The sequence below is a fragment of the Homo sapiens genome, chromosome 10 (assembly GCF_000001405.40).
Source record: "Homo sapiens chromosome 10, GRCh38.p14 Primary Assembly".
Taxonomy (NCBI): domain Eukaryota; kingdom Metazoa; phylum Chordata; class Mammalia; order Primates; family Hominidae; genus Homo; species Homo sapiens.
In genome coordinates, this window is record NC_000010.11 from 105243329 (window position 1) to 105270904 (window position 27576).

Sequence of the window (27576 nt, forward strand, 5' to 3'; positions counted from 1 at the left end):
GCCTAAGGATATTGATTCAAACAGTAACAGAGTGAGTTTCAAGTCACTGTTCTAATTATACTAGAAATGGTGACTCTGTGCCACACATGTTGATATTCCCTTATTCCATGGCCCTGAGCTATGCTCAGCCCAGCTTGACTTCATCTCTCTTCTCCAAACAGGACCATAAACAGCCACTATTGACCCTTTGGATTTTATATGCATGTCAGAACCTGCTTACACCTCATTTATCGATTAATTCAGAAGGTCACACCCATGTGTGTGTCATCACCCAGTCATAAGTATGGGAAAGAATGCCTGAACTCTGAGGTTTGCCCTTAGTTAAGGGAAGGAGTATATCCCTTTCCATACTCCCTTTCTTCTTTCATTTACCAAATAGAAAAGAAATATGCCAGATGCTTAGGACAGTATCTGTAATCCTGCCCAACTCCAGCCATCAACCTCGTCATAAAACAGAGCTATAGAATTTTAAAGCAGAAGAAATTAAATTATTGTTTCAAGGCCAGTTGAAAAGTCTGAGCTAGAAAGGAATTTCAGTATTACAGTAGGGACACCATCTGAAAGCTGCAGCTGGGAGCCTCTGCAGGGTTTTGTACACATGCATCCAAGCCATACATGGGTATGTTGTGAAGGACTGTCCTGCCCCTCTTAAAGGGCAGCTCTGTGCTTCTGCAGCTGGCTACATTGCTACTCTCCATCCTGCTGTCGTCCTGACACAAAGAGAGGAGAGAGAGTCTGCTCATCTGCCCCTGTGACATCTCTTTATCAGCTGCCTTAGATCAGCCTCCAACTGTTACGTCTTACTTTCCAAACAGTAGAGAATTTGAGAGGGCACTGACTTTAAGATGCCCAGTGAATAATGACTCATCAGACTGAAGATCTGTACTCTCTTCTCTCCAATAAGCATCTGCTTTTTAATCAAGATTCTTCTTTCCAGGAAAAAAAAATATATATATATATATAATTAGAGCTGACCCTTGAACAACAAGGGTTTGAAATGTACAGGTCCACTTATATGTGGGTTGTTTTTTTTCAAGAAATACAGTCAGCCCTCCATATCGTCAGGATCCACATCTGCAACCAAACTTAGATTGAAAATACAGCATTTGCAGAATGCAATACCTGCAGATATGGAGGGTCTACAGTGGGATTGGAGTATGCATGGATTTTTGTATACACAGCGGTCCTGGAACCAATCCTCTGTGAATTCTGAGGTATATCTGCATTCTATTTCTGTCTTCATCCTTGAGAACTTCCTATATGTTATGATTATTGGGGGAAAAACAGAAAGAAAAAGATTAATAAATGATCACAAATATGTTTTTTTGTGTATTTTCCAACCTATTAAAAATGGTAAAAATGCCTTGCAATGGGAAACACACATATAATATAAAAAGTCAGTAATCTGATGGTGCATCTAATTTACATATATTTTCTGCTCTATGAAAGGCAATGTGCGGCCGGGCGCAGTGGTTCACGCCTGTAATCCTAGCACTTTGGGAGACTGAGGTGGGTGGATTGCCTGAGCTCAGGAGTTCAAGATCAGCCTGGGCAACACGGTGAAACCCCATCTCCACTAAAATATAAAAAATTAGCTGAGTGTGGTGGCATACACCTGTAGTCCCAGCTACTAGGGAGGTTGAGGCAGGAGAATTGTTAGAACCCAGGAGGCGGAGGTTGCAGTGAGCCGAGATCGCATCATTGCACTGCAGCCTGGGCGGCAGAGCAAGACTCTGTCAAAAAAAAAAAAAAAAAAAGACAGTGTGCTTAGGGTGGGTAATACAGAAGTAAATAACTATGTGATCACTTCTCAGAAAGGTCTCATAATCCAGTGAAATATAGGATGAAAATATAAGTGACACCAGATATTGGAGGAGAAGGGAAATGATCTCCTATTCCCAAAGTCAACAGGGACAGGTTACAAAAGCTGTTTCTACTTTGCCCCAGGAGAAGGAGCAGAATGACATGCAAAATCCAGGATGCCCAGTCTTATCCTTATTTCTAGAATTTAATAATTTATAATGTGTTTCAAGTATACTAATACTCTTCCTAGATACTGGAAGAATAATCACAGTTTTAAGAAACGGTATAACGTTTGTTTGTTTGTTTGTTTTTCTTTTCCAAGTTAGGATGACAGTCTGAGAGTTTCAGGAAAGGAAATAAAGTTGATATCCCACACAAGACTGAATGAGTATTGTTACTTCTTCTTGTAGCCTCTCATCACTTTGGACAGCAGCATTTCCTTCACATTCCTTGCAGAAGGAACCGACACCATCACAGTCCAGGTGGCTGCTGGGAATGCCCTCATCCAGGACACAAAAGAGATTGCAGTTCATGGTAAGCCCTGAAAATTGTTCTGTGATGCTCCTTCCCGCTCAGTTAATCTCCTGTGTCCACTCTCCCTACAATCATTGAGTGTGGTGGAAATTCCTCAGGCCCTGGGAAAATTACATAGGTCAACAGGAAGCTTCCAAACCTACCTCCGACCTAGAGATTGAGGTTATAAGAGACGTATACCACAAACAGGTATTTGTTGTCCCCTGTGTTATGTCTGCCTCAGAACTTGTTTGGGGTTCTTATTAGACAAAGACACGTATCACAAATTGAAGGAAATGCAAGCTGGGAGGTATCTACAACATATATGCAGGACACACTCTTTGTGAGATGAGGACCAGCAATTTCCAAAAGTCAGGAGTCATGATCCCTGCCTTGTAGGACTCATTGCTCAGTTAATGAGATGATCTCTATTCACAACAGATGGCTTTCTTGATTGTTGGAGATTTGAATATCATTGGCTGCAAAACTAGATAATAAGGCTAAGAATATAAGTTAGGACTAGGGCAGAAGAGGGTGAATAGGACTACTATCCTGTTCTCAACCCTGGAGAACCACTGTTAAGTTTATTACAAATGAAAGTGCCTCTACTGCCATTTCACACAACCTCTCCCAGGTCCCTAGACACAACCAGTATCACTGTGGTTTTCTTTTCTTTTCTTTTTTTTTAGATTTTTCATTACTAGTTTGATTTCTTTAATGGTAATTGGTTTTTTGGTTTTACATGTCTTCATTTCATTTCTTCATTTCTTCTTTTTTTTATGTATTATACTTTAAGTTTTAGGGTACATGTGCACAACATGCAGGTTTGTTACATATGTAATGTAAATATCACTGTGGTTTTCTAGAAAGTTAAGTGAAGGCTTGTGATCCTCTGATCAGATTATGTTCCTCCAGCCTCACACCAGGTAAATTCTTTTTCCTACCTTTCTGCAAACTTGCTTCTCAGGCTCTTCGAGGGGCACATGGAAGGTTTGTGTGTTTCTTTCAAAGTAAACATTTTAATTGTATTGTAAATTTTATACAGAAGCGTGCAGGGCACAAGTGTTTAGTTTTATGCATTACCACAAAGTGAATGCACTTGTATACTCACCAACCAGGTCAAGATACAAAGTTTAAACCTATTTTCTAATCCTCAGAGGCAGTTTCTAGCACAATGGGTGAAGGGATTAAAGAAGGAGAAGTGAAAAGACTCCATTCCAACCAAGTCCAAATTGTTAATGCTTTGTGTTGGCTCTTCCTGGTACCACCTACAGTAGCAGACGTCTCCTTCTGGAGTTTCATAATTGTCTTTCATTTCAGATAATATACAGGAAGAAAGGCTTAAGATCTTAGACACTAACAAAAACTGGTAGGAGCACAAATCTACTTTTAATCACCAAATTCTACTTTATTTCAGAAGTCAGGAAACAAGCTGAGAACAAGGAATTCTAGCAGAAGCCTGGTGAAAGAGTAGACCTTTTACCAAAAGCACAGTGATGGTGGAGCTCCACACCTGTCACACCCTCTCTCTTCTCACTCTCCCAGCCTCACTTAAACATTCTCTCTCCCTGCAGAATATTTCCAGTCCCAGCTTTTATCATTCTCTCCTAATCTGGATTACCACAATCCTGACATTCCTGAGTGGAGAAAAGATATTGGCAATGTCATCAAGCGAGCTCTGGTTAAAGTAAGTTGGCTTTGTCTTTTTTTAAGTTCTTGTGAATAAAGAAAAGAACTAGATGGTGTGGTCCACAATACATTGGCATGGATTGAAACTGCATTCCACAGTTAAAGATTATTTCTCTGTAAAAAGAGAGAGAAGAGGCTGGGTGCAGTCGCTCACACCTGTCATCCCAGCACTTTGGGAGGCCAAGGCAGGCAGATCACTTGAGACCAGGAGTTTGAGACTAGCCTGGCCAACATAGCAAAACTCCCTCTACTAAAAATACAAAAATTAGCTGCATGTGGTGGCGCACACCTGTAATCCCAGCTACTCAGGTGGCTGAGGCATGAGAATTGCTTGAACCGGGGAGGTAGATGTTGCAGTGTGCTGAGATTGCGCCATTGCACTCCAGCCTGAGTGACAGAGCAAGATTCTGTCAAAAAGAAGAAGAAGAAGAAGAAGAAAAAGCAAGAATTGTAGGATTAAAGAAGGAAGAAGAGAAGTATAAAAGAGAGTCTAGTTCAATGTTTGAAGAAGGAAACTGGCCCAATGTTTATTATGAATTTGTTTGAGATAGGGGCTTGATCCCTTTAATGCACTAATGGATGGACAACTCACTGAGTTGTTGCTAATATTATGCACTTGTCTGGCTCTTTGTTCACCAATAGGATCTTCTCAACCAAACATTTATACTCACAAGACTACCGTTGGCCACAGATTGCACTCAGAAGGCTACAGGCCAGGAAACAGAGCGTTCCAGCAGGGTAATAGAATTACAGAGTTAATCCAAGGTCAAATTTGCCTTAGAGAAAGTAAAAGGGTTTTGTTAAACATTTTCTCAGAGGTAGGCACTAGAATATATTGATGAATAAAACATGGTCAATTGAAATGTAGAAATAAGTCTAATGTATAAGCAGCTCTAAGCTAGAGGCATGGCCAGCATCTCTATGGGGCAGAGAGAACAGTATGATTCACGCTATCCAGGGACATGAAGACTTGGCACAGATTTGCAACTCAATAAATACTTGTTGAACTCTTGGAACATCTTTGGAGAGAATACTTGAACTGTGTTTGCAAGGATAAATGTCAGTTAACAGGGGCAGGATGGTGTTTGAATGAGCAGCATGTTCAAAGTCATGGACTATAAAGAGTACAGCACACTTTGGGAGGCCGAGGCGGGTGTATCACCTGAGGTCAAGAGATCGAGACCATCCTGGCCAACATGGTGAAACCCTGTCTCTACTAAAAGTACAAAAACTAGCTGGGTGTGGTGGCGTGTGCCTGTAGTCCCAGCTACTCGGGAGGCTGAGGCAGGAGAGTCACCTGAACCCAAAAGGCGGAGGTTGCATGAGCCGAGATATTGCGCCACTGCACTCCAGCCTGGTGACAGAGTGAGACTCCATCTCAAAAAAAAAAAAAAAAAAGAGTACAACATATTTGGGAAATGGCAAAGAGTTTGGTGTAGCCAGTCTGTAGGTTATAAGGGCAAGTGCAGCTAAAATTGAGCTAGGATGGTTATGTCATATTGTGTAGGGTTTGAGAGACCAAAAGAAGCTTGGCATCTATTCTGTAGGCACTGGGAAGTATGAAAAGTATGAAAAGTATTCTTTTTTTTATTTCAGTAAGAGAATAGGTTTATATGTCAGTAACCCATTCTGGTGGCAATGCATAGTTGGGGAGACATTTCACAAAAGGTGACCAGCTAAAAGACCACTGCAGTTATCTAGGCCAGAAATATAAGGTGCTCAAGAAAAAGAGGCAAAGGCTACTTAAAAAATTGAACAATAGAATTGGTGACTAAGGAAATGTCGTGTGGGTGAGAAGGAGAGAGAAATTCTCTGATAACAAGAGCCAGTAGGAGATGGCCTTACATTAATCAAGATGGGGACTATGTAGGAGAAACACGCTTGGGAAACAATAGTGATTTGACTTTTAATGTAAGTCTGGAGCACATGAGAAACAACTGGTTGAAGATGACCAGGAGGGTTGAAAATATGGATCTGAAGATGAAGCAGAGGTTCATGCTGGAGGGAGAGATGTAAGAGAAGAGGCTGTGGAGGTTGTTAGGCTCTCTAAAGAGGAGTTGGGGGACAAGGCAGACACACTGCTGGTGGTTCCCCAAGGCAGAGGAGAAAGATCCAGGAAGGACATGGAGAAGGAGCTGACAGATAGGAAGAAGAATAAATAGAAGAGAATGACATAGGAGCATTGCTGTATGGAGCGGTCTGTAAGAGTAACTACACTTCAAATCTTTTTACAAAGAGACTATTCATAGAAAGAGATGAGAATGAGGGCTGGGAGCGGTGGCTCATGCCTGTAATCCTAGCACTTTGGGAGCCGAGGCAGGTGGATTGCCTGAGCTCAGGAGTTTGAGACCACCCTGGGCAACACAGTGAAACTCCATCTCTACAAAAATAAATAAAAAAAATTTATCCGGGCATGGTGGTGCATGCTGGTAGTCCCAGCTACTCAGGAGGCTGAGGCAGGATAATTGCTTGAACCCAGGAGGTGGCAGTTGCAGTGAACTGAGATTGCTCCAGTACACTCCAGGCGACAGAGTGAGACTCCATCTCAAAAAAAAACCAAAAAGAAAAAACAAAGAAAAAATGAGATGAGAATGAGACTGTTATGTATGCTGTGTTAGTCTGTTTGGGCTGCTATAACAAGGTTCCATAAACTGGGTGGCTTATAAACAACAGAAGTGTATTTCTCATAATTCTGGAGGCGGAGAAGTACAAGATCAAGATGCTGGTAGATTTGATGTCTGGTGAAAGCCACTTTGCTTATTCATAGGCAGAACCTTCTTGCTGTGTCTTCACATGGTGGAAAGGGCAAGGTGGCTCTCTGGGGTCTCTTTTATAAAGGCACTAATCCCATTCATGAGGGCTCCACCCTTATGACCTAATCACCTCTCAAGGCCCCACCCTGATACCATCACATTGGATATTAAGTTTTGACAGATGAATGGGGGTGGGGGGTGCAAAAACATTCAGATCATAGCATATGTCTTTGGTTGCAAGGCATCCAGAATTGGGTTGTGTTATGTATGGTTACGTTCATTAAAAAGATACTAGCTTTTTAGGAAATAACTTGTAATTGCAATAATAATAATCAGTCCTGTCAGTTGATTCTCAGACCTCAAATCTCACAAGGACCAATCACTCGTATGTCCCTTTGGATGGGTTAAATGAATCTGTATACACTGCTCCAAGGTCTCTGTAAGGGCCTTGGTGGACTGACACTCCCTGACATTGTTCTTTCCTGAGACAAAGGGTCACACCAGTCAAGGCACTAATAAGCTCACCACCCAACCCTTCACTGCATTGGGTGGTTCTCTGCATTTTGCCCCTAGTCTGGCCTCCTGAGACTTGCTTTAAGGTAGTTAAAGGCCCCCAGCCTTATGGACTTGGGCATTAGGACTTAATGCTACTAAGGATCATGCTTTGAAAGAATGTTGAGGCATCTAGCTAACCATCTCAGGCCGTTAAGAGGATGCCTCCCTGGTTGGTGGACTCTTTAGGCTTCTGACTGCTGCTTCTTACTTCCCTGCGGGCTGGCTCTTTCACTTTTCTTTATCACATCCCTGAGAGTTAACTCCAATCCGTAAGCCTAATTCCAAATAGGAATCAGAGCTGAGCAAATGGAAAACAACCAAACTCTCTGCTTCTGTTCAATCTAGCAACTATTTATTTAATTTTTACTCTGTGTCAAGCATTCTTGGGAACAGTGAGACCCCAGACAGAAATATCTGGGCAATCACACCATAAGAACCTGTATTAGTCCATTCTCAAACTTGTATACCCGAAACTGGGTAATTTATAAAGAAAAAAGGTTTAACTGACTCACAGTTCTGCATGGCTGGGGAGGCCTCAGGAAACTTAACAATCATGGCGGAAGGCACCCCTTCACAGGGTGACAGGAAAGAGAAGAGTGGCAGAGCGAAGGGGGAAAGGCCCCTTATAAAACCATTAGCTCTCATGAGAACTCACTATCATGAGAACAGGATGGGGGAAACCACCCCCAGGATTCGATCACCTCCACCTGATTCCTCCCTCAACACCTGGGGATTCTGGGGATTACTATTCAAGGTGAGATTTAGGTGGGGACACAAAGCGTAACCATATCAGGATCTATCTGAGAAAAGACTACACCAGACAGATGTAATCATGTGTCACGGTGGACATGGTCTATATCTCTGAAATGCAGTGGACATGGTCATTTGGAGGTGTTTGGGGTGGGAGGCTAAGGTGGAGATCACTGCAGGTAGAGATAGTCAGGGGGCACTTTGGAGGATGGGGGTATTTCACCTGATTCACAAATTATATATTTGGATTGACAGAAGAGGTGGTGATGTTCTGGATAAAAGATCTTCAGGAGACACACAGGAAAGAACAAGCTTACCCTTCACGGGGGAGAACTCAGCATCCTGTTTTCTTTAAAAATTTGCCTTCAGACAGAAGCTTACTTTTAAGTTTTTATCACAAAGCAATATCATTCTTTTACTAACCACTCAGGAATAGAAAAATTCACTCGTATTCTCAGCCTCTTAACCACGTTTAGTATTTTGTTATTTTTTTCTTCTATATATTTGTATTTTTATAGAGTTGTAACCAAAGAAATGTAAGGAAATAGATTGGAATGCAGCTATCATAAGTATTTTTCTATGTTGTCTCATAGTACTTATTATCATCTTAATGGTGGCATAATAGTCTATCAGGTGATTATACCAGTATTTGCTTATTTTTTTGAATACTGGAGGTTTTCCCCTTTATTTACTATTATAAGTAATGTTGTGTTTTTTCCTGCATATGGCTTTTCCTATATTTTGGATCATGTCTTTAGAACAAACTCACCAAGTTACAGTTACTGACTGAAGGGTATGAATATTTTTATGGCCTTTAAATTAAGTCTTTCAGAAAACAAATTGGCAATATGTATCAATTTCTAGCACTGCCAGTGCCAAATGAGGGAACTTCCTTCAATGCAGTCTTACCAATATTAGCTATTGCACTTAAAAAAAATCCTGCTTTAATAAGTGAAAGCAAGTATTGCTCGGCTTTCTTTAAATTTGCATTTTCCCATGTTGGTTTATGACTTCTTTTTCCTCATTTGCACCCAGCCTGTGTTTCAGCCAGAAGCTCTAGCTCTCATAGAAAAATGGAAAATATGAGAGGAACTTTTGCCAATGTTCCCAGCAAATAATGTTTTAAAAATCATTTGTAATACCATTCTAGTTTCAGTAAAAATGTATATAAGAGCAGGGGAGGTAGTGAAACTAATAATGTTTTACCTAGCAGGTCTAAGGGAAAAACTGAAAGAAAGCCTGAATGTATATTGGAGCCTGTGCCTAAAAAGCTGCATTTGAAAAACTCACATGAGCCATCTGGCTGTGCACACTCTGCTCTTGTCATTGATTTGGGGAGGGCTGGCTCCTCCACAGCCTCTCTTTGTCTGAACATCTTTGCAGGTAACCAGTGTCCCAGAGGACCAGATCCTCATTGCCGTGTTTCCTGGTCTCCCCACTTCAGCAGAGCTTTTCATTCTTCCACCCAAGAACCTGACAGAGAGGAGGAAAGGCAATGAAGGGGACCTGGAACAAGTAAGTGAAAGTAAATCTGGCTGGGACCCTTGCCTGCACCCTACACCCTGAGAGGGCACAAAGCTGTTTTCAGCCAGAAAGGGAGACAGGCTCTCTTCCATTACCCCAACAGCCAAGGTTTTGAAGAGCAATCACCCTTACCCAGAGTAAATACAGGTGCAAATAGACTGGAGCATTCAGCTACTCAGAAAGGAATGTCACCCCTGGCATTATTCATTCCAATGTCTGACATCCCTGTGCCAGCTCATGTCTCCCTCCCAGTGACTCTTCCTGGGATTCAGGGGAAGGGGAGCAGCAGAGAGAGAGAGAGAGAGACAGACAGAGAGAGAAAGAAGGGGGGAATTTGAATTTCCTTGTTTATTTCTGGGACTATGTGCCTCTTGTCTTTAAACTGCACTGGCCCTTAAAGATCCTGGCCAATGTTAAGCTCTGCTTCTGGGGAGAAAATGAACTGCCTTCAAACATGATTTTTTGGAGAGGGATGTATTGCCTCTCTTTGCTTTAACTAAGGAAGCAACATTTCCAAAAGGGATTGTGATTTACTGTTCTTATCAAATGGGCATATAGAACTATACTGTGATCTGCACGCTGTCCTGGAAGTAAAGGGGATGGCAGGACTGGTGTTTCTCCTTTTCATCCTCTATTCCTCCTGAGGTCTTAATGCCTGCACTGTTTCACCCTTCCTTTCTTTCTCATGATGCTAAGTCAGGTGCAATAGAAATAAGTGAGCATGAGGCTGCAGAAAATCGGCATGAATCACAAACATTTGCTCTCATATGAGGTAATCATTGTACAGACATATTTTGTGTCCCTGTGATACTCACTGGCCATCACCCCATCCTTACTTACAGCCATCCACAGACATTGAGCGGTAGAGATGTGATTGCAGTTTCTCTGAGAAATAATTTCTTGCATTGCAGGGTTGCATATTGAAGTTGGCCAGAAATAAATTTAGCTTCTTAATGCATACATCACTTTTACAAGACCTCTTTATTCTGAAATAGCAAGTGGCATGTGTGAACTATATTTGGAAGCTACAATATCCATCCATTTAGATAAATAGGTAATTACAGTGATGAATAGCAGCTGTGATATTAAGGCGCATACAGCGAGATAAGAGTTAGGGACAACAGCCTAAGTCGGCCTCAGCTTTCATGTGGGAATTACAGAGTGATTAAATCGATGTTATGTGTTCTGCGACTTGCTAGGGAAAAGTAAAGAACAAAAATTATCCCATAAAAAGGAGGCAGCTTCTGCTTTGATGTTTGCTTCCCATTGTCTCTAAGATAGAAAACGCAGAGGAGAGGGCTGGTAGTATATGTACCTGCTTTAATCCTGGCAGCGGCCTACATCCCCTGTGTCTATGACTTCATCAGATTACAGAGCTAATGATGGGTTGAACTTCTTTCATTGGAACCCATAACAGGTCTTTTTAGAGGGTTATAAAGGCATGGATAAAAGAGCAGTGAATTAGGAGTTGAATGAAACATCTATGTCTATTATAGCTCTAATTCACCAGTGACTGTAGGCATGCCTCTTTCTGTCTCTCACTCTCCTCTCCAGAATAAGCAAATATTACCATCTATAGTTGTCTCTCAGTATACATAGGAGAATGGTTCTAGGACTTCTGATATACCAAATCTGTGCATCTTCAAGTCCTGCAGTTGGCCCTGCAGAACCTGCATGTAAGAAGTTGGGCCTCTGCAACATGGTGAAACCCCGTCTCTACTAAAAATACAAAAATTAGCTTGGCGTGGTGGCACGTGCCTATAATCCCAGCTACTCAGGAGGCTGAGGCAGGAGAATCGCTTGAACCCAGGAGGGAGAGGTTGCAGCCAGTCAAGATCATGCCACTGCACTCCAGCCTGGCAACAGAGTGAGATTCCATCTAAAAAAAAAAAGAAGTAGTTGGGCCTCTGTATATGCAGGTTTCACATCCTGTGAATACTGTATTTTCCATCCACATTTTGTTGAAAAAATCCACATAGAAGTGGATCTGCGGCCAGGCGCGGTGGCTCACGCCTGTAATCCCAGCACTTTGGGAGGCCGAGGTGGGCGGATCACGAGGTCAGGAGATCGAGACCATCCTGGCTAACACGGTGAAACCCCGTCTCTACTAAAAATACAAAAAATTAGCCGGGCGAGGAGGCGTGCGCTTGTAGTCCCAGCTACTCAGGAGGCTGAGGCAGGAGAATGGCGTGAACCCGGGGGGGCGGAGCCTGCGGTGAGCCGAGATCGCGCCACTGCACTCCAACCTGGGCGACAGCGAGACTCAGTCTCAAAAAAAAAAAAAAAAAAAAAAAAAGTGGATCTGCTTAATTCAAAACTGTCCGCATGTTCTCACTCATAGGTGGGAATTGAACAATGAGAACACATGGACACAGGAAGGGGAACATCACACACCTGGGCCTGTTGTGGTGTCGGGGGAGGAGGGAGGGATAGCATTAGGAGATATACCTAATGTTAAATGACGAGTTAATGGGTGCAGCACACCAACATGGCACATGTATACATGTGTAACTAACCTGTACGTTGTGCACATGTACCCTAAAAGTATAAAACAAAACAGAACAAAACAAAAACAAAACTGTATAGTTCAAGGGTCAACTGTACTTCCTTGGTTTCACAAGGCCCCAAGGGCTGTGAGAACCAAATCGATAAATATTTTTCACTATCTTATCCCTAATTGAACCATGGTGACTTTTTACCTATTGACCTTGTCCTTGGTTTCTTACCCCATGAGGGAGCATCATTGCATGTCATGTCACCCCATGCATCCTGTCTTATTTTTTCAGATTGTAGAAACACTGTTTAATGCTCTCAACCAAAATTTGGTCCAGTTTGAGCTGAAGCCGGGGGTACAAGTCATTGTGTATGTCACACAGCTGACGTTAGGTGAGTGCCACTGGGAACTGGGGAAATGGGAAAGAGGATCTGTTATCCCAGAGAGAAAAGGAGGAGAGAATCATGAAACCCTGCTGCATAATGTCTGAAAGTGGCTTTGTAGAAGGGTCCTTTTTGTAGTTATGGTTCAGAAGGATTGGTCACATCAGTCACATTGTTCTGAAGGCATCCTGCAAGAAGACTTTCTTAGGAGTAGCTTTGCCATTGAATCCCTAGACGGTCTCGGAGAAAACCTACAATTTACTTGGGTCTTAACCTTATTCGTTTGTTTGTTTGTATATTTCTTTATTTTGTCTGTGACAGTTGGGATTATATTGGACAGTCCTCTAGCTCTCTTCATTCATTCGATTATCTGATTTTATGAATCTTGGATGGTAGGCCACAGAACTTTAAAACTCCCTTCTAGTTTACAATGTGTGAGTCAAAGTAGAAACAGGAACAAACTCTAGTTGGCTTATTTGTGAAAAAATCTAAAAAGGCATGTCCCATTGGGCATCTACTTTGGGCTCTCTGGGAAAGCCTGTTTATTAAATGGTTCTTAATAATGTAAGACTTTTCCAAGGTGTAGGTCACAAATGTGCCCATCCAGTGGGTTTTTATCAGAACAGTGTAAAGGAAGAGAATGAAACACTGCATTAGTACTTAACCCAAAATTTCAAATGGGCTCCCTGTAATTATGGTGACAGGCATGCAGCCTATCTAAGAGAAAGAGCACTGGAGCCCTTATTCCACTCCCCTGAGCTGGACATACGTTGTTCAATTTATACCAAGAACTAGCAAGTTTCCCCAGGCTGAACAGAGAAGTTTACTTTCCCTAAGAAGCTGTACTCAGGTGCCATTGCCATCATTGAAGCCAGACTTTCTGCACCCAGATATCAGGCAGGGGAATTGGAGACTAGACATAAGGATGGAGATCAGTGGCCTCCTTCCTGCAATGAATACTCCCTCCAGCTAACAGCTTCCAAGTGAGCATATCTGTTCTTTTCCTTATCTGTTCTTCTTTCCAAGCTCCATTGGTGGACTCCAGTGCTGGGCACAGCAGCTCAGCCATGCTTATGCTATTATCAGTGGTATTTGTTGGCCTGGCTGTGTTTTTGATCTACAAGTTTAAAAGGTATGTCCTATTATCACTCAATTTAGTAGTGGGGTTGGGGTCATTGCAAATGATTCTTCCTATAACTAACTTTACTAAACTCATCGCAAGAATGTGATTTTTAATTCTCCTTGAACTTCTGTTTGACAATGGGTAAAAGCAAGAATGGTTGAGGGTCATGGATTAAATGGGTTTGAGACTCTGAACTCTATCTATTATGATTTATAGGTGTAATGAGTTAGGTAAATAAAGACTGGCCAATGAAATCAATTTATTATCTTCAAGAGAAGTGTAAGGGGTTTTCAAACCTCAATCAAACTTCTAAAGTAAGGTCTTATATATTCAGAAGATGTTTTTATATGGATCAACATCCATTCAGGTGGTTAAATAGGGAAAATGCAACTAAAATTTGATACATACATGTACAGACACCGATGCATTTTTTTACCTCCTGTTGCAGCTATTCAGCATCTCTCTTTAAATTTGCATGCTAAAGATATTCAACTACCATCCCTCTCCCTCTTTTTCCTATTCTAAAGAGAAATTGATTAGGAGAACAAAACTCCACATGTCTTGAGAAATTATTTTTGAAAGCCACAGAAGGGGTGGTATAACAAGATACTTATTAGAAACGTAAAATTGAAATCAATAATTTTGTACTAACATTCAAATTATAACTTCTACTAGGATGTATACTAATTAAGAGTATAAACTCTGAAATAAGATCCAATTTTAACTTTTAGCGTTTGTAACCTTGGGCAATTGTTATTTGCCTCTCTAAGTCTTAATTTCTTCACTGGTAAAATGAGAATAGCAATAATATTTTATAGGTTTGCTACATGATTTAAATGTCATAGTGTGTGTAGGTGCTACGAACTAAGTAATCAAAAAAGCTATGCTATTATAAATAACAAAGCACATGCCTGCCAAAGATGCCCTCTGTGCCATAAACTGTCACATAATAGGCCCTCAGAAATTTTATCAGTGGCCTAGAAATGTGCTCCCTGGGAAGCCTGGGTAAAGTAAAAATGTCATTAATTATTGTCAGATGAGTTTGAAAGCCTCCTTTAGTCCTGGAGTCTTTCCAGGAACTAAAGATAATGCTTTTAGGTTTTGGTAGAGATCAGTGGTAAAGGTGCTTGACTCTTCCTGCCCCCCTTCTTCCTGCTTATCTCTCCTTTAGTGGCTATTTCATTTTCTTAAAAACACCAGTTTAATTCAGTATACCTCTCAGCATTAGCCGCAGCAGCAGGAATTCTATCAACACCCTCCACGCTCTCTAGAAGGACAGAGTGAGATTCACCTTCCTACTCAACTTGTAGACCAGTATGTGAGTTCATGTCCTCTTGGATCAAGATGTGTTAACCCACATACCCCTGTTCCCTTTGAAGGGTGGATAAAACCTTTATGTCACAAAGTGAGAAAAGGTTCAATATAGAAACAGCCTGGTTAAGGCAACACCCATTTATTTATAGATGTACTTCAATTATATGCAAAGAACATTTCACTTTTCACTCAGCCAAGAATTTGATTGTGAGGAAGCCTGGTGGTTGCTGGGCGTGACAATCAACTAAACCAAATGTCTCATCTCTGACTCCCAGAGCAGCATAGTTGCTGAGGACAAGGGCCAATAGAAGTCCTGTAAAGAGTCTTTTGTGGCTTTTGTGTCAGGTGGATCCAAAGTAAGGATACTTAAGGATCACTTATACTGTGACTTGGAAAACTTCTTTTTTTGTTTTGTTTTCTTTTTATAAATGCTGTTAAACTCCTTAGACGGTCAACTTACTAATGTAGGCATCTTTAGATGTATACACTTTAATAATGAATCCATACCAGGTAATGACATCTCTAAAAAATTCTACCTTTGTAGTTCCCAGGTATCAGCCCACCTTTTCTGTGTCCCTGACAGTGAGTCATGCAGCTGAGGCCACAGGAAATAAACTCCAATCAAACTGGACAATAGCAGCATCAGTTAACAGTAACTAGTCATCAGTTAACCTTTACTTTTCTGGCTCCTTTTCCTGGAAGTTTTACTCCCAATGCTTAAGCCCTTTGGTTGAAATTCTGTGGGATTTTCTTTTATTTTTTTGGTCTCTTTTCCCCACTCATCACATGGAACCCCAGTAATGGCAACATGGAGTGTACCTGGCTCACAACAAGTACGTAGGTCAGGTTCCTAGCCCTGGATTCCCAAAGTCTCCTTTGCTTCTTTCATTACTATCCAATAGAACTTTGGCAATGTTTAAAATGCTCTATCATCAGTACTGTTTAATACAGTAGCCAGTAGTCTGACTGAGGAACTGAATTTTAATTATACTTAACTTTAACTAATTAAGTGTAAACAGCAACACCTGGCCATTAAACGCTCTGTTGAGCAGCACAGTTTAGTGTAAAGACATTTCTGTTTCTGTGTCCAGATCATTGGCCATACTGAGTTTCCAGATCCAAAGCTTCCTCTCTGTAATTGCCAGTATTAACACATTAAGACATTCATTCATCCTACAAACATTTATTGAGTACTTCCTGTGTTCCAGGCACTGGAAATGATCTCAGTATCCCAAGTGGTCACTTGACATAGAAAAAGAGAATAGAATTACTATGAGCCTCAAGCTTCCTTTAAATGAGTATCACCTGGCCTCTCGCAGGCTCTCTTGCTCTTGGATAGTGACTGCTATTTTCTTATATCTCAAGTAATGTAATTAAAAATCATCATGAGATGGCTTTTCTTTCTGAAGACTGCCTAACAAGAATTTCTTTCCATAACTGAAGATCTGCTTTTTCTCTATCCAGGAAAACATTTGAGCTTCTATATTCCTTCCACTGTTTTTTTAGGAGGGCTTTCCTTATAGTCCAAAGCCCACTTTGCTTTCTCTAAATTTCCTCCTACAGGCTTCTAACACTCATAATAGATGGATAAATAGATACAAACTGCAGTTGGGTTTTGTTTTTTGTTTTTAGAGGGAGACTTGAGCCTATCCATATTACTCCTCTTATTTAAACCTGTATGAATGTTGGTCCAAGACATATCTCTTGATCTCTTCATTTCCCACATTCCTTGTATGCAGAAGTGGAGTTCAGACTTATATTCTCAACAGTCCTACAAGCGGATGTGTTAAGAAATGAAAAGCAACTTGACAAATTTTTAAAATTATGCAAATTGAGATACAAAATTTATTCTCTTCCAACCATCGATTGCAAAAAGATGAAAAATATGCCAGTTTTTAGATGTGTTATTTGGAAATTGAAATAAAGCGAATAATCTCTATAAGGGCAAGTTTATCCAAATCCTCATAGGTATTGTGAGAAAAGCAGGAAAGGGGAGGCAGTTGACTCTGGTTACAACTGTGAAGTACACAGGCTTATGTGATCAGGAATGGTTTAACCACCCCCAGACCTAATAAATATTACGGTTGATCCCAACCTTCATGAGCAATATGTACTTTTATGATTGGGAGGAATCTCAGTTATTAGACTGTATTTTCATTTATATAAAAAGGAATATAAAGGCCAGCATTAATTTTTAATTATACCACATTTAGAGAGCCTAGTGTGCTGCCTCACATGGATGCTGTTCACTTTGGGTTCTTGTAAATTATATTAAACTGGCTTAGACCAGTAGGGGTCATGGGGACACCTCCTTTAGTGTATGGAAAGCAAACATTAAAGACATGAAAACTGAATGTAAAAAATAATTAGAAGCAACTAAGTGTTTTAAACCTATTTTCAGATTTTTTCTTCTGAATTAGCTGCAGGAAACCCGTATTAAGTGCTTCCACATTTCGCATCATTTGGAGTTGGAGCAGATAGGGGAATGTAGAAGCTTGAGAATACCACTGCTTGGCACAAGGACAACAAAGTGATTTTCCTTTAGAGTTGCATGGGATGTCCTGGATTAGGATGGGTGTCCGATGTCCCAAGTTTCAGTGATATCTATGCTAGTAATTGGCTTTGTGAAATGTCTAGACATTAGTCTAATTTTCCCATCCTTTGATGAGGTAAGAGGGGTCTCTTCTAGAAGTGATATTCTAAAATAAAAATATAATCTTTTTATTGACAAATATAGTATAGTAAAGTAGAAAGAGCACAGGATTTAAGGTAATTTATTCATTGATTCAAAAAATGCTTAATAAATGTTAACCATTTGCCAAACACTGTGCTAAGTCGTGTGGATAGCAGAGAGGATAGAAAACATAGACCTTGCCTACATGGGGCTGTTAGTATAGTGGGACAGAAAGACAGAAAACAAGTCAATAAACATTGCCTATTACATCACCCTAAACCAACACCATATTTATTTCTTACATAGGCAGTGTTGCATCGTTTCATGTTTATAATGGAAAGTTGGATAGTCAGGGGAAGCCTCTCAGAGACGACATGTAAGCCAAGCTCTGAGAAGAGCAGAGGGCAGTGTGTTACAGGCAGAGGGAACAGTTGGTTCTAAGTCCCCAAGATGTTGAAGAGCTGCTTCTATTAGAGTCTTGTAACTCAAAATTTGGGTCTCCAACTGATGAACAGCATCAGCATCACCTGGGAGCTTGGCAGAATTGCAGAATCTCAACCCATCCAGTCCAGACTTACAGAGCCACAATTCACATTTTAAGGAAGACTCTGGGTGATGCTTAAGCCTGTTAATGTTTGAGAAGCCCTGGATTAAAGGAATGCAAAGGAGTCTCCCGAGGCTGGAACACACAGTGTGTGAGGAGATAATGAAGATGGGTCAGAAGATGAATGCCTCAAGAAGATTTCAGTGTGAAGCCGCTCACTTCTCCAACCCCAAGCTAGTCTGCCTTGCGTTTCCAAATCCCACCTACTATGTTTCTGTCTTTGAATAGAGCTATTTAGCTTCTCTTAATCCTTAATCATCTCCAAAATCCAAAAAGAAACTATTGTCATCCCCATTGAACAGATGAGGAAACTATCCAAGTATTTAAGGTACTTATCCCATAAGTGATGCTCTGAAAATTGTAGCAAAAGCTATGAATCTATTATTTCTTGACTATTTATTTTAAAAAAGCCAATGTGGATTGATTAAATTGATGCAACCTTAGAAATAGGTGTCTTTTCACTCTGTACACACTTAGAGTTTCAAAGTCTAGCTCCTTTAAAAACTTAATACCAGGTAAATATTTATAGGGTTTTATTATCTAACTGCCTTTTTGTTTATACCTTCTTGTTTTTTACCCACAGGAAAAGGTGCATTCCTCAGGGAGTTCTATGGTTTACATCTTCCCTGGGCATCTGGGTTCCTAGCTGGCTTTGTGTTCCTTGACCTTGTAGCCTCATTGTCTCTGGGGTTACCAATATCTTTCCCTGACATGGACCCTTCCTATTAATAGCTTCTTCCTCCCCTTATCCCCCAGGATTTCCAGCTGCCCAAGTTTGGCACACCCTGTGATCTTAACCTGATTTTGCTCCTGTCCCATGTAGGAAAATCCCTTGGATTAACATCTATGCTCAAGTCCAACACGACAAGGAGCAGGAGATGATTGGGTCAGTGAGCCAAAGTGAAAACGCCCCCAAAATCACACTCAGTGACTTTACGGAGCCTGAGGAGCTGCTGGACAAAGAGCTGGACACGCGGGTCATAGGTACATGCTCCTGCTCCACTAAGCTCCCCTGTTCTGTGTCCTCTAAACACTGGCCTGCTTCATCTGTCCCCCATACATTACTGGACTGGAGGGTGGGGACAAACAACTACCTACAGTGACAGAATCATGTTTTAAATTTGTCTGCCACCTCTGGCCACAGGAAATTGGCAGATATTTTTCCCCTTAGAAGTTAATCAGGATTGGAAATACTGGAGTCTGAGTGGGTTAGGGATGAAGCCAACTATCCATTACTGACGGGCTTTTACTTCTTTTTCTATAAAGCAAAAGTATTATATGTCCTTACTAATGATTACATGAATGTGGAATCTGGCATCAGATAGCCCTGGATCCATTTTTCTTGCTCTGCTAATCTACTACATCTGTGACCTCTCTGTGCCTCAAATTCCTGATCGGTGAAATGGGAGTAGTAGTACTTATGATTCATTTCTATTTCTGTGTAGTACCTAAAAAAAACAATTCTAAGACTGTTGTGATAATGACCTGCTGTTATGTCATTAGCCCAGTGCCTGCCACATAGTAAGTTTCAATACACATTGGCTGTTACTGTTGTTATCAATAGAATATAAGATAGCAGTCAATGTCTTGATCCCACCTGTGGGCTAGTGTGGGAGGTAGCATGTTAAACATGGATGACATAAGTCAGTGAGCTGATAGGTAACGATATCCGGGTGCCTTTTAAATAAATTCCTATTAAGCACCTGTTCTGGGTGGCTTGGTATTTAGCAGTGAATAAAACTAAGATCCCTGCCCTTGTGGAACTCACATCCATTTCTCCCTGTGTCTTCTCTTCTCTGCAGGAGGCATTGCCACTATTGCAAACAGCGAAAGCACAAAGGAGATCCCCAACTGCACTAGTGTTTAATACCAGCAAGCCACGTGGTCAACCACCTTTCTGACTTTTTATTTTTGATGATTACTATTACTATTATTATGGAAAAATTAAAATGTCTTTTTTACCTTTTGTTTACCAAGGGCCCCTTCATAAATAGCAGGCAAATGCCTAGCTTTGGGAGAAAAGGGCATTCTTAGCTGATTGAAATGAGACAAAGGGAATAAATGGCTGTATTTGTGCTAAGAGCAAAGGATGCATCTTCCCACAGCCTCCTCGCTTTACTCTGCCATTGGTAGCTTAAAGACTTTCTTTTTCCTTGTGGTCTCCCTTTTTTCAAAATTGAAGTTGGGTTGGCTCTTTGTGAACCTCTCATCCCCACAGCAGAATCACCAACACTCTCCGCTTCCCCCAGCACACACACATACAACACAGATCATTTCCCAGTTAGATCCGCAGGAAGTAGGTTGGTGGGGGTGGATGTAGCTGCAGAAAGCATGCACAACTTTGTGAAAGAGGCCCTGCCTTGTGCATGTCCATAGTGAGGCTACAGATGGCTTATTGTATATAATTACAATGTAAATAGCTTTTTATTTCCTAAGAAATAATTTAATGTTTAGTAAAAAAGAAAACAGAAAAAAGAAAGATGCGTGTGTTGGCTTACGCACTGGCCCTCAGAGCTGACCAACCCGCCAGGCCTGCTCAATGCATTGGGTTTGGATGCTCTCCTGTTGTCTGTCACACTTAACTCTTGCATCTCCTTGTCCATGCCATAGCTGGTTTCTACTTATGTATATAAAGGGGGGTGGGGGGAGGGGCTTCTCTGGGGCAATTGATAAAGGAAGGACTCTAGTGACATCATAGAACATGGCAGTCGTTTTTGTTCCAAGAATGATATGAAAGGTGAAGAAGAGGCCCACTAGAGGCTTCATACTGAGACCCAGATGGGGGAAAACAGCTTCCTCTCTAAAAGGAAAAACTTGATATTTATCAGTCTGAGAAAATATTTTTTTCTAAAGAAGGCAGTCAGTGGATCTTAAAATGACAATCTGTTTTTAAATTGGATTCTATGAAAATGCATAATGCTTATGGTGAATTCTCAGGCTATTCTGAGCTCAGAAAAGTCCCCTGGGCACTAGGTAAAGCCCAGTGAATGTCTCTTGGCATGGGAGGAGTTAAAGAGGTTGGAAGGGAAGAGGCATTTGTGGAATTATGAGTTCATGCAAAACTCTCCAGGCCAAGTAGGGGTCTAGCCTTTAATGATATTAGTCAAAGGCAATTTTAGCAAAGCTGTGCTATTTGCTTGTCAGATGTACACAACTTCCTTAAAGTCAAATGTCTGCCTTCAGTTCCCTTAAGGTAGTTCTTGCCTCTGGGGTGAGTGGCTTTCAAAGCCTTTTAGCTTTTCCAGCACCTCAGCCCCTTCACACATTTACACATACCAATTTTTTTCAATAGGGTCACGTTAAGCCATGCTGTAAGCATTGTTTTTATTTTCAGGCTTAGCCTGAGCACACTTATTTTTGAAAATGATATAATGTATATATATGGGAGGAAAGGCCACATTTTGTACCTGTTAATTTTTGTGGGATGTTGTTCCCATTCTTCTTTGTGAGACAGAGAGAATGTGATATAGAGAAATCTGGCTGGCTACAGTGTAGATCAGTATTAGGAATATTTCTAAAGATCCTGCTTTTTTGTTTCAAGGGTTAAATGGGGCAGACAATTGCAATACTTGTACTAAACACTGGAATACAAATGCATGACTCATATCTATATATACAGTATATGTACATATACTGTTCTTGGTTTTATTGTTCCACTTGAATATTTCTACTGTAAAAAAAAGACAGTGGTTTTGAAATTGTTGAAAATAAATGTATTTTTGTACATCAAAGCTACATACGTGGCTGAGTTTTCTCTTTGGGGAGTTTTCTTTATCCACTGTGTCTGTAAACTATTGCTACAGTGATGCTACATGGAAAACAATGAATGGCTTATAACAACAGATGCTTGGTTTTTGCTCATGAATCTTTAGGTTGGCTCTGGTTTGGCTGAACATATCAGGACTGACCAGGCTCTGCTGGTCTGATCTGGAAGGAGGTTTCAGGTAGTTTGAGTCTGCTCCATGAATTATCATCATCCTGGAACTGCAGCTACCCAGGGCATGTTTTTTCATGGTGGATTGTAGAATTCCAGGTGAGGCCAGTAGAACAACCCTATGTCTCTAAGGCCTGGGCTCAAAATGGTCACTTTATTTATCTTCATCCACATTCCGTTGACTAAAGAAAATCACACAGCCAAGTCCAACCTCCATGGCTAGAGAAATAGATTCTTTCTACTCTGGTACTAGGTACTATAATTGGAAACAATAATCTGATTTACTCTGCCTATTCATTTTCCACTGCCCCATGGAGCGCTTTCACTAAATGACCTATTTGAACCCATGTCAAAGTTTTTCATTCACATATATATGGCTGGGACCTCTGAGCAAAGGTCTTGGTAATTGCAAGGTCTTTGAGTTTGATATGAGTTCCCAATGAGTGGTAGAGATGATGGAATGCCAAGTCAGGTATGAAGACTTATTAAGCAAGAGCAATGAAAAGGAGAAAAACAACATGTGTCCGTTTTTTTTCCTTCTTCCAGCTGTTCGATGCATGAAACCGACAGCAAATGTCGTTTTTTGGTTCTTTGCTTATTAGTGGCTCTTCTTCACCAGGTAAATAAGGAAATGTAAACTGGGCACCCAGAATAAGGGCTGTAAGTTGGATGTTTCTTCTTATTTCTTTAGTGTTTCAAATACGTGATAAAGTTCCATGGATCTAAGAAACCAGAAATCATTTGTTGATAATTTAGTTGCATATTTTGGAAAGTGGCTCAATCTTCTGGAATCATATTTTCTGCACTTAAATTGAAGATAAAGAACTAAGCAAAGGTGGTTTTCTTTTGATTTGGGAATTTATTTTAAAATCATGTATAATTCTTACTATAACTTTTCTTGAGTTATACTCACCTTTTGAAAAATTTATATAAGTACCTGCCTCACATATTGAGAATATCACTTAAGTATCTCAAAAAGAAGCAGGGGGTTTTCTTGGTCTAAGTGCCTATACTTCTTTTAGGGATTTTGACAGTTTGGAGCTTTCAAATAATGTAAAATGTCTATTATTTCTATCCTAAGCCAAAGACGAATTTTCTAAATGCATTAGTTTTTGCTTCCTAATGGGATCTGAGTTTTTCTTGTTAATTTTATGCCCAGGTTGGTGAAGTTTCTTCCCTGGATTAAGAGAGATGAAAGAGAAATAAAGCAGTAAGAAAATCTGAGTCAGTTGGGTCATTTGGGTAAGCCATGGCTAAGAATATAGCCACTATATTCACCATCAGCATGAGTTTGTTAGATTTCTCAGTAGTAGACTGAGGCAGAGGCAGATAGCAGAGAGTGTGGTTGGCTTTGCAGCTATTTCCATGCAGGGCTTCTCACCAGTGGTGAGGACACTCTTTGCATCAGAATTGCCTTTAAGGGAATTGTAAAGCTAATAACTAGGCCCATGGAAGCACTCCAGGGCTGTATTCTTCCAGGATTCTCATGTACATGAAAATTTGAGAATAACTGCCTTATCTGCCACTAAAATAGTTCAGGAATAAGTATTGGGTAAAAGTCACGTCCTTTGACTCCTGTTATCATAATGCAAGTTACCTTAATCTACAGAAGTGAGAACAGCTTCCAAATTTGCTCATTTCTTCCTGGGCAACAGCTGCAACTTTGAGAGTCGCTCAATGAGCTATCTGGGACAAAAATACACTGTGAGTTAAGGTGGTGACGGATTGTGCCTTGGAAAGAATACTGTGCTGGAAATTAGTAGATCTCTAACTTTCAGCAAGTAATTCTGGACCCAAGTACCTCATTCGTAAAAGGAAAACACTTCATGGCCCGCCTTGCTGGCTTGTTTTGATTTCCAGAGGTGTGAAAAGCACATTGCCAATTCCAGAAGTATGGCAGTATTAGGAGAACTCCCATCTGCAGAGCAATAGACAGAGAGGAAAGTGACTCCAAAAGTCACAAAGCAAGGTAATGCAGAGATGAAGATGGAGTCCAATGTTTATTATAATAAGGTGGGATCCTTACTACCACACATCTCTGTCAAAATGCAAAACAGATTGAACTGCATATCACTGGGCAACAGCGGAGAGCCTGACGGTAATGCCAGTCATATGGCTCCCATATTTTATAATGTCCAGAACAGTTTAGAATCTCACATCCCAAGTACACTCATCCTTCAGTGGCTCACAGCCTTCCTCATGCCGCTGCCCTCTGGACCCACCTGTTTAGCAGCCCATGGCCTGACGCCCTTGCTTTTCCCACTGGACTGAAATGAAACTGCTCAGCAGACAGCTGCTCACCCCAGTTCCACCTGCTGGGCTGCTCATCTTTTAAAGTGATGAGCCTTATTCAGAGGGAGGAAGGCCAGAGAACAACATAAGCAATAAGGATGCCTCATCTGGATTATACCACATCCTGCCAAAATTCTCTCGTCTGCTCCAACAGTACTGCCAAAGGGGACCAGACATAACCCAACCATTAATTCCCAAAGCACTGTGCATCTTGATGTTCCTTAAACTTTAATCACCATGTTCTTTACAGTAGCAGAGTGTCCTTCAACAGGCTCTTTGCATTTCTGACCATGTATCATGATGAGACATAGGTTCATTCAGAGATGAACCAATGGAACATTGTATACAAAAAATGGGGGAGACCCTCAGTTAAGAGTTCAATTTACTGGAGACTAAAACTTGGATCCATCACTTTTCAATTATCTGAGACTCAGAGGGGTAAAATGACATAATCAATTTTATGTCAATTTCCTTACCTATAAATTACAAATAATGACATCTACTTTCCAAGGTTGGAATCTAGATTAAATGAGATAATTTGGGTAAAGACACAAATAATAAATTGATTATGAGAAGTGCTAGTTTTATTGCACTGGATCTTTGCCCACATAGCACTGTCTCTGGCCTCGAGTTGTAAAAATTATCCAAGCAGTCTCACTTAGGGCTGTACCTGCAGAGGAAAAAATTCAGATTTACCTAAAGAGACATGCCTTCTCCATCAGTTCTCCTTCAGGAGGAAGATAATTTTGTTTAAAATTTACTACTTACACATTGATCCCCAAAGTCATTGCTTCTTTTATTGCCTTTTAAATAATATGACTGATCTAATGTTGCTTGGACCATATGGAAGGGGCAAGAGGTGGACTCTTCTAGTCAGAGTTGCCAAGAATGCCTCATAAAGTCAATGACTGGAAGCTCTCAGTTTCTAAAACATGTTCACTCTAACCATGTGTGGGTGCCCCGGATGTAGCCATGCTAATGGGACAAAAACACTTTGGCCTTGCTTGTTTATGTTCTTCAGCTCAGGTATTAATAACATCATTTGCATCTCCCTCACTGTCCCTTACCATATAGTGCTTTTGTTTCGTGAGGACGTGTGCAGTCCCAGGTCCTGGGGTCACTGACTTGGGTTCCTTTGTCCACACACATTGAAAAAAATATCCGATAAACAATTACTTGTAAAAATATACCTCTTAGATAGCCAGAGATGCTAAGGGCACAGTTTCCCAGTGCCTTCCTTGAGCTGTGGTTCAAGAAGAGCTGTTCCAGAGTACATGCAAGATCCAGATTCCTTACAAAATGCCAGGGAAGACAGGAAAATAGATCATGACAGGCACACATGCCATCTGTCATTACAGCTTAGTCGCTGGGGAACAATGCTGTTTGCAGCTATTAAAAATGAACCAGATAATGTGGAGCCCTCAGTGATTTGCTCCTGAGGAAATGTGTGGTCTGTTCCCCAAAGAATAGAGACTTCTTCAGCAGAAATGTCTGTGCCCAGTGTCCTACATGCAGATGGCTTCTGGGCTCCAGGGATACTCTTACCACCAAAAAGGCCCCATTTCTCCTCCCTGGGGCCTCTCCCAGAAGATTCTTCCTACTGTGCAAGGTTTTTCATTGCTTACTCCCATTTACAAAGGGTTATTGCTGTCAGTATCCCAGGAACTGGCTGCAATTAGCAGTCTGTCCAACCACAGTGCATGGGGAGAGAAAGGAGATGCTGTGGTAGCAAACAGAGAGCAAACAGGATTGTTTTTCTTGTCACTATTCTGTCTTTCTTGGTTTCGGGGTAGACTCACCTGGGAAGCACATAATTGTCTCCATAAACAACACATCTGGTCCTTGGAGTGCCAGAATGGTTTTCTTGCACTGTCCTTCCAAAATCTTATGGTTCAATTGGAGAATTGCTGGGTTTCTTTCATTGGCAACCAGGACTTGTCAAGGGAGGAGGTATCAAAGGAAGAAGAAGGGAGAGATGGGTCTAGAGAAATAAAGTTAATCTTTGTCAATTATGAAGCTCTGCTTGACACATTTGCATTTCAACTTGTCAATTTCAGAGTCTCCTCTGTGAGGGGAAATGCAGATGCTCCCCAGATTTCTAATCTATTTATAATAGTAACAAGGCAACTCTAGGCAGCGTGTGCTCATCATGAGCTAATCATCCTCCGCTATGCCTTGTGCCTCCTAATTAGTGGCATGTTGGTTGCCTACTGATCAAGTTGGAGCCTCATCCAGGCAATATGCGTGGGGAGGGCAGGTATGGGGAGAAGGAACACTGAACCCAGTGGAGCTCAGATCTTGGCAGGCTTTTTAATAACAGGTGGGCTTCACACCTTGTCTTGAAATCCATCCTCTTTAAAGAGGCAGCCACCATGTCCATGGGTGCTAACAGGAATATGGCAAGTCTCCAAACACATGTCTCCTTTGTGTCTAGGAGCTCTCCATAAGGAGATGCTGTCCTTCCAAAACCTCTTGGCTTGATGATATAGACCAGTGGGAGGCACAAGTAGAAGAAAAATAAATATTTAAATGTGCATCTGTAGCTGATAATGGGGCAAGGCCCCTTTCATTGATTTATCCATTCTTTCCTTAATAGAATATTTATTGAACACCTACTTTCTACCAGGCTCTGTTCTGGATACTAGGGATACATCAGTGGCCGTGACACACTTAAAATAGGGTGGCCACATTGGAATACATTTGGGGATGGATGAGACACTATCAATAATTACTGTGGGAAAAGTAGCATGAAACAGGGCTGTCTCAAGCAAACCAGGAAATGTGGTCAGTCTGACTTAAAATCCAGAGGAACCATTTATCCAAAGTCAGAGATTGTGTCCATGTTCCATTTACCCTTGAATTGGCATTTTTTCCCTTTCAAATGCTGACCTATGAGTGAAAATTCAACTCTCTAAGCCCCAAAACTATATTTATGGAGATCTCCCATCAGCTTTGGTGTCTTCTGAGGACCTCTCATGGGGGTGGTGAACCCCAACATACTCAGAGGTCAGTGAGCACAAATCGAGATGGTTTTTGAAAAAGTCTTTAAAATACTGTATCAAATAGCGTTCTTAGTTGCAGAAAATAGACACTGATCCTGGCTAGTTCAAACAAAAGGAATTTATTACAAGGCTATCGGGAACTCACAGAATCAGGTTTGAAACACTTATC

General features: G+C 41.0%; 1 protein-coding gene across 2 annotated transcripts in view; it reads left to right on the forward strand.

Annotated features, from left to right (window-relative positions):
- Window positions 1-21914, forward strand: part of SORCS3 (sortilin related VPS10 domain containing receptor 3) — a 623953-nt gene extending 602039 nt beyond the window's left edge. For both annotated transcript variants that reach the window (NM_014978.3, XM_011539542.2), the window contains 7 exons: window positions 2214-2337; window positions 3891-4003; window positions 9447-9578; window positions 12374-12473; window positions 13491-13596; window positions 19003-19163; window positions 19982-21914. In NM_014978.3, coding sequence (NP_055793.1) covers window positions 2214-2337; window positions 3891-4003; window positions 9447-9578; window positions 12374-12473; window positions 13491-13596; window positions 19003-19163; window positions 19982-20046 — 801 coding nt within the window. In that variant the 3' untranslated portion in view covers window positions 20047-21914. The remainder of the gene's footprint in view (window positions 1-2213; window positions 2338-3890; window positions 4004-9446; window positions 9579-12373; window positions 12474-13490; window positions 13597-19002; window positions 19164-19981) is intronic.
- The last annotated feature ends 5662 nt before the right edge of the window (window positions 21915-27576 follow it).